Below are 13,082 nucleotides of genomic sequence, written 5' to 3' on the forward strand. Positions count from 1 at the left end.
CAGATTTACTTGTAGGGATTTTGTTGAGATATAGAGAAGTGATTTTGTTGAGATGTAGAGAAACACTTCCTTGAAGTTTATTTCTGATACTGTTAGCTACATTCTTGGCATCCTTTAGGAATTTTAAGAATACATATTCATATCCAGGAAAAAATAGAGAAAATATATATGCAGATACTTCCCCAAATTAAACTAAGCATGATGTAATTCCTATAGAATTTTGTTATGAAAGAAATCACTTTTTATCTTTTTTTTTTTTTTGAGACAGTATCTCATCACTCTATTGCCCAGGCTGGAATGCAGCAGTGCGATCTCAGTTCACTGCAACCTCCGCCTCTGGGTTCAAGTGATTCTTGTGACTCAGCCCGCCTAGTAGATGAGATGTGCGCTACCATGCCTGGCTAATTTTTTTGTATTTTTAGTAGAGACAGGGTTTTGCCATGTTGGCCACGCTAGTCTCGACCTCCTGGCCTCAAGTGATGCACCCGCCTCAGCCTCCCAAAGTGCTAGGATTACAGACGGCAGCTTTTCATCCTTCAAAGAAAAACAAATACAAACCTTATGTTTAAGCAAAACATAAGAATTATCACTGGTACTTTGGCTTAGGCTCTGGCTGGCCTTGAACATTCCAGACTTTGAGTGAGTAATGAATATGAGGAAATCATGTGTCTGTCAGTAACAGGTGTTAAATTCTACTGTCTCTATGAATTTGACTACTCTAAGTACTTTGTATAAGTGGAATCATATTTGTCGTTTTGTGTCTGGCTTATTTCATTCAGCATAGTGTCTTCAACGTTCATCCATGTTGTAGCATGTGTCAGAATTTCATTGCTTTTTATAGCTAAATAATATCCCATTGTATGGATATAACACATTTTGTTTATCTGTCCATCTATATCAATGGACATCCGGGTTGTGTGCACCTTTTGGCCATTGTGAATAATGCTGCTACTAACCTTGGTGTACCAATCTGTTCAAGTACCTGCTTTCAATTTATCTGGGCACACGCCCAGAAGTTGAGTGGCTGGATCATATAATAACTCTATGTTTAATTTTTTAAGGAACTGCCATACTTTAATGTAAGATTTTAAAGCACAAATATCAGTGTATTCTACAGATCTATGAGAAGTAGCTCTTGTCTCTTGTGGTGATTGCCAACATTTAGCTTAGAATTGCAACTTGCAACATATATGTCAGAAGTGGCCCAGGTTTTCACATTGGAAGGGAAGAAAAAGTAGTAATAAAAGCAATCACTTATTGACTGTTTATTATGCACCAGATTCTGAGCTGAGAGCTTTACACAGATTCTTGCATTGAATCCTCAAGACAAACCTACTTGGTTCTACTATCTCCATTTCAGAGAAGAGTAAGCAGGCCAGATAGGTTAATGACATGCCTAAGATCACAAAGCAGACGAGTGCCAGCACCAGGACTCAATTTCGGTTCTAAGTCAGAGCCTTTGCTTTAATCACTATTCATTCTTTCAACAATCATTCATTAAAGGCCTATTACATGTCACGCAATGTTCAAATTGCAGGTAACACAGTAATGAGCAAAACACACATAAAATGTTCTTGGACTAAAATAAGTTACCTCTAGTAGGGGGAGACAGTACAAATTATATAAATTACATAGTATATTAGATGGTGATAAGTGCTCTGGAGAAAAAGCAAGCAGACAAAGGGGACAAAGAGCTGCAATTGGAAACAGGCTGATCACAAAAGACCTCACTAAGATGACATCTAAGCAAAAATAACTTGAAGGAGGTGAAAGAATAAACCGTGAGGGAAATGTGGTAGAAAATTATTCTAGGCAGAGAAAAGAGCAAGTGCACAGGCCCCGAGTTAGCTTGCCTGATGTGTTTGAGCAACAGCAAAACACTGAACTAAAAACTGTGACTGAGCTGGGCACGGTGATGCATGCCTACAATCCCAGCTATTCAGGAGGCTGAAAAGGGAGGACTGCTTGAGTCCAGGAGTTTGAATCCAGCCTGGGCAACACAGTGAGACCCCATCTCTTAACAACAACAACAACAACAAACCCAACTGAGACTGAAGTGGAACCAGGCACAGATTGATGAGGAGGGGAAGAGGTCAGAGACATACTGAAGAACCAGTTCACGCACAGCCATGTAGGCCACTGAAAAGCCTTCAGCTTGTATACTGAAGCAAATGAGGAGCCAATGGAGCGTTTTGAACAAGGAGTGATGTGATTTGACTGACATTTTAAAAGGATCTCACTGGCTACTGTATTGGGAGACAAGAACGGAAGCAGGGAAGCCAGTTGTAAGACTGCTCTAACAACTCAGGCCACAGTTTAAATCAGTAGAGAGAGTGGAAAATAGTTAAATGCTGAATATTTCCTAGAGATAGAGCTGAGACTTACCAATGGATGGGAATGCAGAGGATAAGACAAGGTGAAGAATGACTCCAAGGCCTTTGATCTGAGCAACTGGAAGGATGGAATAGCCACTGACTAAGATGAGACCTCCAGACATGTCTGGGAGGTCTATTAGGAGCTCCACTTTGGAAGTGTTAGGGTTGAGAAGCTACTGGACATCTGAGCAAAAATGCAGAACAGGCAGCTGGAATTTTGAGTCTAGAGTTCAGGGGAATGGTATAGGCTGGAGTCAATTTAGTACCACAAAATATGCCAAGAACTGTGTCAGACACTAGAAATACAGGGATGAATACATAGTACTGACCAGCCAAGAGACTGAAGTACATCCTTTCCCCCTAAATGTATTTCTCAGTGTGTTTGTTAACAGTTGCTATGAAAGAGCAGGGAAAATGTCAGTCAGCTAAACAGTTTAGATTTCCTTTTGAGAATTTTTCAGACTTGAATAAACTAAACATATACTGTGACTTTCCACAAGGGGATAGAGACATCAAGCTGTTATGTGAACTTCTTAGCTTTTGTTGAAGTGTATGTTGTAGGCACATACTGGTCTAGGGCAAAGTTCTCAACTCCAACACTATGGACACTTGGGATCACATCATTCCTTGATGTGGGTGCTGTCCTGTGCACTGCAGGATGTCTAGCGGCATCCCTGGCCTCCACACACTAGACACCAGTAACACACCCCACGTCGGTGACAAACATGTCTCCAGACATTGCTAAATGTCCCAAGGGACAAAATCACTCTCAGTTGAGAACCATTGGTCTAATGTTTTAATATATGCTTCCATAGGAAAATAATGATATTCCTTTTTCCCAAGTCTACTTTTATTTATTTAGCAGCAGAAAAGGATCTATTCATCTATCCTAATTATCCCAATGATGAGTTCATTACCGTTTCCCTACTTAAATCGGTAAGAGGCCATTAGACATGAATTTCCTCATTTTCCCCTGCAGCCTCTATCTTACTTACCCTCCCTCAGTCCTCCTCTTTCATAAAGATCAGCTGCTCCTCCAGCCACCACCTGTGCACTGGATTCCAGTCCCACTTGCCTCTGACCACAACTTCACCATCAGCTACTCCCTGCCCAGTAAGTTTAACCTCTCCCTCAGCCTTCAAACATGCCAATTTTTTCTCTTACCAAAATGAAACAAACAAACCCACTTTTTTTTTTTTGAGATGGAGTGTCACTCTGTCGCCCAGGCTGGAGTGCAGTGGCACGATCTAAGCTCACTGCAACCTCCACCTCCCAGGTTCACGCAATTCTCCTGCCTCAGCTTCCCAAGTAGCTGGGATTACAGGACCCCGCAACCATGCCCAGCTAATCTTTGTATTTTCAGTAGAGGCGGGGTTTCGCCATGTTGGCCAGGCTGGTCTTGAATGCTTGACCTCAGGTGATCCACCCACCCCGGCCTCCCAAAGTGCTGGGATTACAGGCGTGAGGCACCGCGCCCAGCCCTACCCAAACACCTTCTCCTCTCCCTTAAGTCATCTCTCTCTTTCTCTATACAGCTAAATTTTCATGAGGTTCCATCTTAGACACCTGCCCTCTGCTTTTCCTCACTGCTTGTTTCCTTCTCTGCCTAATCAAGTCTAGGTCTACAGTCATTTTTCCACTCTCTCAAAGATGAGGACCTCTTACCTGCCCAGTTCAATGGTTTCCTCAGAGGCCTTCCCTACCTGACATCACCTAGTGCTGAAAATATTTTTAAATGAACTCCTGAAGAAACTTTCTGACCCAGTGAGCAATCTCTCTCTTGAATCCCATGACATCATTCCCCTGGTTCTCTTTTCACCTCATTGATGGCTTTCTCGCAGTCTGTTTTCCTGTTTCTTCTGCATCCACTAACACAGGTAGTCCTTTGAGGATGATTTTTCAGTCCTCCTCTAAATGACTTCCAGGACTCCAAATACACCTAGGAATTCCCTATTTAACTCTGACCTCATATTCTATCCTGAGCTCCAAATTAAGATTTTTAATAGTGAGATGGCAGATTTTTAATAAAAAGAACCAGAAGTAATATTAACATTAACAGTAATAACCACCACCAGAAATGTCTTTTACATCCCAAGCACTGAAGAAAGCACTTTATAAATATTCACTCATTTAATTTGCCCCTCAACAAGCGGTCCTTACTATTCCAACCACAATAATGAAGTTACAGTCTCAGGTTAAACAACTTTCTTACACAGCTAGTAAATTGTAAATCTAGGGCTGGGAACAGATTTTACCTCAAAGCCAATTTCTTAATCAAGTGATGTTGTTTCACCTTATCTTTTCGATTTCTCCTCAAAATTCAATTTTCTTAGGACTTCCTGAGTTTCACAAACTTATAGGATAATTTAAGGTTAACATTCAAACTATACACTCTTGGCCTCTGTATTAAAAGAGAAACATTTTTTTCTAAGAATCCTAGGGCTAAAAGGAAGTTAGTGTTATATAATTCATCTCTCAGCCTGTAGGGAGAAGTGTATCTAACCCATTCCAGACAGATGGGTATCTTCTATTTTTAATGACATCTAGGAAAGGAAACTCTCACCTACTAAATTTAGACTGTGAGCCAAAGGAAAGAAGCATATCTAATTTTATGCTCCATATAGCCAGGCCTTCACATATAGTTGGTAATATGCATCCTAACAGGATTATTACCACAAGTAGAAACAAACACTTAAAAACTACAATAAAAAAATAAAGACAATAACTAGAAAGTGATTCAACTGGACTCTTCAAGTTCACAAGAGAACAGAATCATTCCAGTCCAAATTACAACAGAGCTGACATCGTAACAATTCTTCCTATTATATTAAAACCCATCTGGCAGAAGTGATTGGAAAAACGACAAAGGAGTGTCCAGTAAGATGCATACATGTTTCACGGAGGTACCTAGTTTTTAAAAGTTAACTCCCAATCTTAATGCAGAAGAGTCATGAATGAATCCTAAGTCAGTAACACTTTGAGGTTTATAGTTATACCTTTGCCACTGCTTATTCTTAACTCTAGCCTTTAACTCTAAATACTTCACAACCTCCCTAAGAGATTTCAGTCTAATTCTGTCTGTCAGATAATCTTTGCTGGCTCTCAAGACATTAAGGAAAAAACAAACAAAACAAATATTGCACAAATGATGCAAAACAAAGAGATTTCTGATCCTGTGTTTTACTTTAAAAAAAAAAAAAAAAAAAGGCCAGTGCAGTGGCTCAGGCCTGTAATCCCAGCACTTTGGGAGGGTGAGGCAGGTGGATCACAAGATTAGGAGTTCAAGACCAGCCTGGCCAAGATGGTGAAACTCCATCTTTCTCAAAACCCTTTGTTTGTCAAAAAACAAACAAACAAACTACACTGGTAATGTACTACTAAAAATACAAAAATTAGCCAGGCATGGCAGTGGGCACCTGTAATCCCACCTGCTCAGGAGGCTGAGGCAGGAGAATAGCTTAAACCTGCAAGGTGGAGGTTCCAGTGAGCTGAGATAATGCCACTGCCCTCCAGCCTGGGTAACAGAGCAAGACCCTGTCTCAAAAAAAAAAAAAAAAAAATTTAGTGTCAACACTGTTTTGTTTCCTGAATAATAATAGTCTTCAAAGGGGCTTGACAGTTTTTCACTTCTGCTGACAGTCAACTGATACATCAACTTTCATAAATCATCTGGTGGTAAGAAAACCAAAGCCATCATGTACCTCTAAAACTTCAACTCCAGCCTGGCCAACATAGTGAAACCCCATCTCTACAAAAAAAACTTTAAGAATTAGCTGGGCATGGTGACATGCCCCTGTAGTCCCAGCTACTCAGGAGGCTGAGGCAGGAAGATTGCTACCACTGCATTCCAGCCTGGGTGACAGAGTGAGACCCTGTCTCTAAAATAAATAAATAAAAATTCAAATAACTCATTACTGCAACAGTAAATAAGGAAAGATTCTATTTCTCCAAGAGCTAAGTCTGCTCCTATTCCCTTCATGATACTGGGCAAACTATCTGTATTTTTATGTTACCTATCGCTTCTTGGCCTTTTGGCCAAGATCAAGTGTAGTATCTGTTCTTATCAGTTTAATGTTACCTGTCTCATGTCCCTTCTCCACAAAATAAAGAAATTTGAATGTTCTTTAAAGTCCTTCAGGTTCCAAATCTCTATAATTCTGTACAGTGTATCTGAATGTGTATAGTAGAAATGGGCAATATATTTTAGGAATAAAGAGAACCACAGATAAATACTTTGGCACAATTGCTTATACATATTGTCTGTATTTCCACGTTTGGCATAGAGAAGGAAATTGCTTACATTACTATATTTTATCTCCAAGAACCTAAAGTCTCTCTCCTTATAACTTTCCAAACCTTAATCTCAGAGGATAAACACTTTCTAAGAAAAAGATATAGTTGGCCGGGCGCGGTGGCTCACGCCTGTAATCCCAGCACTCTGGGAGGCCGAGGCAGGCAGATCATGAGGTCAAGAGATGGACACCAGCCTGGCCAATGTGGTGAAACCCCGTTTCTACTAAAAATACAAAAATTAGCTGGGTGTGGTGGTGCGGGCCTGTAGTCCCAGCTACTCAGGAGGCTGAGACAGGAGAATCACCTGAACCCAGCAAGCGGAGGTTGCAGTGAGCCAAGATCACACCACTGCACTCCAACCTGCGTGACAGAGTGAGACTCCATCTCAAAAAAAAAAAAAAAAAAAAAAAAAAATATATATATATATATATATATATATATATATAGTTAAGTCAATATTTAGCCAATAAGATCTTATAAAGTTTCTTAAATTTTGGTCTAAATACCTTAAACAGTTTAAATTTGTAAGTGTAAGTAACTGTTTTCAAATAAAAGCATGATAAAAAAAAAACACAAGCATTGGAAGATTCATTTCCAATGGCCTAGTCATCCAGTAAAATTTTTTAGCATCATAAGCTTTATTTCCTGTCTGACATCCTCAGGGATCTAGTTTGACAGCTCCTCTGTACAATTTCTACTATAAGACTTCTCTGTCCTCTCTTGGCACATGTAAACTGCTGCTAGGTAATATTTCCTTTGGCAACAAATTATATACTTTATAGAAAGAGACCTTCAACTGAACCCTCACCACTCAAACCCACATTCTTCCCAAACATGTGAATCTTAAACTAAGTCTTGTGTAACAAGTTGGACACATTTTATTACACTGAAATGTAAAATATTCATTAAATTCTCCCCACTAAAAGGAGGATTCAAGTTACAATCTCTCTCAAAGAGAAATCAAAAATGGTTTTGCTAAATCATATGCTGAACTTGCATTATTTTTCTTTTCCTTTTTTTTTTTTTTTTTTTTTTGAGACAGGGTTTCACTGTGCAGAGTACAATCACCACTCACTGCAGCCTTGACCTCCTGGGCTCAAGCAATACTCCCACCTCAGCCTCCCAAGTAGCTAGACATGTGCCACCATGCCTGGTTAATTTTTTTTTTTTTTTTTTTAAGTTTTTTGTAGCATCAGAGTCTCATTATGTTGCCCACGCTGGTCTTGAACTCCTGGGCTCAAATGATCCTCCTGCCTCAGCCTCCCAAAGTTCTGGGATAACAGATGTGAGCCACCATGCCTGGCCTTGAGTTATTTTTCTTTCTTTCAATTGCCCTTGAATTATAGGCAGATACATATTCTACTAGGTTTCAAGAAATGAAAACAAAATTAACTGTAATCTAGAAAAATAAATACAACAGGCTGGGCACAGTGACTCACGCCTGTAATCCCAGCACTTTGGGAGGCCGAGGGGAGAGGATCACAAGGTCAGGAGATCGAGACCATCCTGGCCAACATAGTGAAACCCCGTCTCTACTAGAAATACAAAAATTAGCCAAGGGTGGTGGTGTGGGCCTGTAGTCCCAGCTACTTGGGAGGCTGAGGCAGGAGAATCGCTTGAACCCAGGAGGCGGAGGTTGCAGTGAGCCGAGATCGCCCCGCTGCACTCCAGCCTGGCGACAGAGGGAGACACTGTCTCAAAAAAAAAAAAAAAGAAAAAGAAAAGAAAAAGAAATACAACCATATAAATGGAACCTCCAAGGTTTAAGAACCAGAGCCAGGCAAGATAGCTCATGCTTGTAATCCTAGCTATTCAGGAGGCTGAGGTGGGAGGATAACTTGAGCCCAGGAATTCAAGAGCAGCCTGGGCAACATAGTGAGACTCTGTCTCTAAGAAAATTTTAAATATTACCCAGGTGTCATGGCATGTGCCTGCAGTCCTAGCTACTCAGGAAGCTGAGGCAGGAGGACAGCCTGAGCTGGGGAGTGAGCCTGGCTGCAGTGAGTTATGATTGTGCCACTGCACTCCAGCCTCGGCAACAGAGCAAGACCCCATCTCTAAAAATAAATTTTAAAATGAGTAAATAAGCTCCCTCTCCCCTCTCCCCTCTCCATCTCCCTCTCCCCACAGTCTCCCTCTCCCTCTCTTTCCACGGTCTCCCTCTGATGCCGAGCGGAAGCTGGACTGTACTGCTGCCGTCTCCACTCACTGCAACCTCCCTGCCTGATTCTCCTGTCTCAGCCTGCCGAACCCCTGCGATTGCAGGCGCGCGCCGCCATGCCTGACTGGTTTTCGTATTTTTTTGGTGGAGACGGGGTTTCGCTGTGTTGGCCGGGCTGGTCTCCAGCTCCTAACCGCGAGTGATCTGCCAGCCTGGGCCTCCCGAGGTGCCGGGATTGCAGACGGAGTCTCATTCACTCAGTGCTCAATGTTGCCCAGGCTGGAGTGCAGTGGCGTGATCTCAGCTCGCTACAACCTCCACCTCCCAGCCGCCTGCCTTGGCCTCCCAAAGTGCCGAGATTGCAGCCTCTGCCCAGCCGCCACCCCGTCTGGGAAGTGAGGAGCGTCTCTGCCTGGCCGCCCATCATCTGGGATGTGAGGAGCCCCTCTGCCCAGCTGCCCAGTCTGGGAAGTGAGGAGCGCCTCTTCCCGGCCGCCATCCCGTCTAGGAAGTGAGGAGTGCCTCTTCCCAGCCACCATCCCATCTAGGAAGTGAGGAGCGTCTCTGCCTGGCCGCCCATCGTCTGAGATGTGGGGAGCGCCTCTGCCCCGCCGCCCCGTCTGGGATGTGAGGAGCGTCTCTGCCCGGCTGCGACCCCATCTGGGAGGTGAGGAGCGTCTCTGCCCAGCCGCCCCGTCTGAGAAGTGAGGAGCCCCTCCGCCCGGCAGCCGCCCCGTCTGAGAAGTGAGGAGCCCCTCCGCCCGGCAGCCGCCCCGTCTGAGAAGTGAGGAGCCCCTCCGCCCGGCAGCCGCCCCGTCAGAGAAGTGAGGAACCCCTCCGCCCGGCAGCCGCCCCGTCCAGGAAGTGAGGAGCGTCTCCGCCCGGCAGCCGCCCCGTCCGGGAGGTGGGGGGCGCCTCTGCCCGGCCGCCCCTTCTGGGAAGTGAGGAGCCAGCCCCTCTGCCCGGCCACCACCCCGTCTGGGAGGTGTACCCAACAGCTCACTGAGAACGGGCCATGATGACGATGGCGGTTTTGTCAAATGGAAAAGGGGGAAATGTGGGGAAAAGATAGAGAAATCAGGTTGTTGCTGTGTCTGTGTAGAAAGAAGTAGACATAGGAGACTCCATTTTGTTCTGTACTAAGAAAAATTCTTCTGCCCTGGGATGCTGTTGATCTATCACCTTACCCCCAACCCGCTGCTCTCTGAAACATGTGCTGTGTCCACTCAGGGTTAAATGGATTAAGGGCAGTGCAAGATGTGCTTTCTTAAACAGATGCTTGAAGGCAGCATGCTCGTTAAGAGTCATCACCACTCCCTAATCTCAAGTACCCAGGGACACAAACACTGCGGAAGGCCGCAGGGTCCTCTGCCTAGGAAAACCAGAGACCTTTGTTCACTTGTTTATCTGCTGACCTTCCCTCCACTATTGTCCTATGACCCTGCCAAATCCCCCTCTGCGAGAAACACCCAAGAATTATCAATTTTAAAAAATAATAATAATAATAATAATAAAAGACAGGTCTCTGGTAACAGAGAAAGAGGAGCTTACATTTGTTATTAAAGTGCCATGTATTTAATAAAACACCAAACAATTTTAAAAAAATGAGTAAATAATTTAAAGAACTATACTTTCAATTCACCATTCCCACCTTTTTATTCAATACATACCCTAACATATCTTTCCCTTATCAGTAACCCATTACTACAGAAGTAAAATGTGTTATTGACTGACAAAGCCCAAATGAACTACTGAAGCAACTACTTAAATCAAGGTTTCCATTTATCTATCTATCTATCTATCTATCTATCTATCTATCTATGTATTTATTTTTGAGGCACAGTCTCACTCTGTCTCCCAGGCTGGAGGGCAGTGATGTGATCTCGGCTCACTGCAACCGCCACCTTCCAGGTTCAAGCAATTCTCTTGCCTCAGCCTCCCAAGTAGGTGAGATTACAGGCACGCACCACCACGCCCAGCTAATTTTTGTATTTTTTAGTAGAGATGGGGTTTCGCCATGATGGCCAGGCTGGTCTCAAACTCCTGACCTCAAGTGACCCACCCGCCTCGGCCTCCCAAAGTGCTGGGATTACAGGCATGAGCCACCATGTCTGGCCCCAAGCATGCTTTAATTTAATTCAAATATCTGTTTATAGGCCTTAAGACTCAGATGATAGGAAGTTTTAGTAAATACAGAATCTACCCACTAGTTGATATTCTAGTAGAGAGGATAAAAGAGTTTACAAATTTAAACATACGTATTATGTTGGTATGACACCATTTGAAAAAGTTTAAGATTGGAAAGTTTATTCATTATAAGATGTATGACCTTGAACAGATCATTTGTCTTCATAGAAAAACACAGCTGACCAAAACCGAAACAAGTGCAAATGGAAAACCTAAACAATCCTATATCTGTTAGAGAAGTAGATCTGTAATTAAACAGTGGTCCAAATGTGAGACTATGTTTCTAAAACACAATTTTAAAAATTAGCTGGGGATGGTGGCACACACCTATAATCCCAGCTATTCAAGAGACTGAGGTGGGAGGATCACTTGAGGCCAGGAGTTCAAGACCAGCCTGGACGACTGATATGGTTTGCATCTGTATCCCTGACCAAATCTCATGTTGAACAGCAATCCCCAATGTTGGAGGTGGAGTCTGGTGGGAGGGAATTGGATCATGGGGGTAGTTCCTCATGATTTCAATTGGCAATAGTGAGTTCTCGTGAGATCTGGTTGCCTCCCCACTCTCTTGCTCCTGCTCCAGCCATGTAAGACCTGCCTGCTTCTCCTTCACCTTCCACCATGAGGCCTCCACAGAAGCAGAAGCTGCTGTGCTTCCTGTTCTGCCTGTAGAACTGTGAGCCAATTAAGCCTATTTCTTTACAAATTTACCCAGTCTCAGTTATTTCTATATAGCAGTATGAGAATGGACTAATATGGTTCTGCTCCTGCCATTTAAGAGGCCTGCTCCCGCTTTGCCTCCACCATGAGTAAAAGCGCCCTGAGGCCTCCCCAGAAGCAGATGCTGCCATGCTTCCTGAACAGCCTGTGGAACCGTGAACCAATTAAACCGCTTCTCTTTAAAAAAGAACACCAGTATTATGCAAACTTTTCTAGAGAAAAAGAGAGAACATTTCCCACCCACTATAACCTTGGATAACCATTTATAAGGAAAATCTTGATGTCCAAACCTGAAGAAGGGCAGTGTATGTACAAAATATAGATGTAAAAATCTTAAAACACATATGAGTAAATTGAATTCAGCAATATGTTAAAAAAGGATCGTGACTAAGTTGGGTTTGTTCCAGAAATTTAAGGTTGGTTTAACATTTAAAAAAAAAATCAATCAAATTAATTCAACACATTAGAAGGAAAAAAAGAGAAAGAAAAAAAATCATATGATCTTCTCAATAGATACAGAAAAAGCATTTGATAAAATTAAACATCCATTCAGAATTTTTTAAAAAGACCTCAAAGACTTCTACTTCTATCCAAGGTATAGTAACGGGGACTAGATTTACCCTCCTATCTGGAAAAAAAGGAAGAAAGCAGATGAAATAGAGTAAATCAAGCTTGTCCAACCCATGGCCCATGAACCACACGCAACCCAGGATGGCTTTGAATGTGGCCCAACACAAATTCGCAAACTTCCTTAAAACATTATGAGACTTTTTTTGTGAAAATTTTTTTTTTTTTTTAGTCCATCAGCTATCATTAGTGTTAGTGTATTTTATATGTGGCCCAAGACAACTGTTCTTCTTCCAGTGTGGCCCAGGGAAGCCAAAGATTGTACATCCCTGGACTAAATAGTGGTTTTCAAGACATTGGACATTAGGCAGCAAGGACAGTGATCTCTGAGGACAAAAGAAGGGAGGGCCTACAACTACCCCAGCTGACTGCCTTGAGAGCATTTCTAGGATGTAGCGCAGGGAAGAGGAACTCAGGCAGAGGCCCTGAGTTAAAAAGATGGAGCTGAGTGTCTAGAGACGCTAAGGCATCTAGAGTGCACAGGACAGAATGCTGTAGAGGAGAAAGCTGCACAGAGAGAAAATATTAGAGATCTAGGGAGAGTTTCTCTCAAGTATTCCGCCAAGTACTGATAAGCCCATGTGTAGAAGAAAACTACCAGAGAGGAAAGAATCATCTGAGAGGATTAGAGGGAACAGTGCCTGGAAGCCTGGAACTCACACACAAGCGATAATAGTGCCTGTTCCCACCAGCCAGACTTGAAAAACCTTATAATTCCC

The 13,082-nt window shown here is 42.9% G+C and overlaps 1 protein-coding gene and 1 pseudogene across 6 annotated transcripts in view; one reads left to right on the forward strand and one right to left on the reverse strand.

Annotated features, from left to right (window-relative positions):
* Positions 1–13,082, reverse strand: part of SCAI (suppressor of cancer cell invasion) — a 200,921-nt gene that overhangs the window by 156,434 nt on the left and 31,405 nt on the right. The window lies entirely within an intron of this gene.
* Positions 6,391–6,597, forward strand: LOC124902355 (uncharacterized; annotated as a pseudogene).

Source organism: Homo sapiens, chromosome 9 (assembly GCF_000001405.40).
Source record: "Homo sapiens chromosome 9, GRCh38.p14 Primary Assembly".
NCBI lineage: Eukaryota > Metazoa > Chordata > Mammalia > Primates > Hominidae > Homo > Homo sapiens.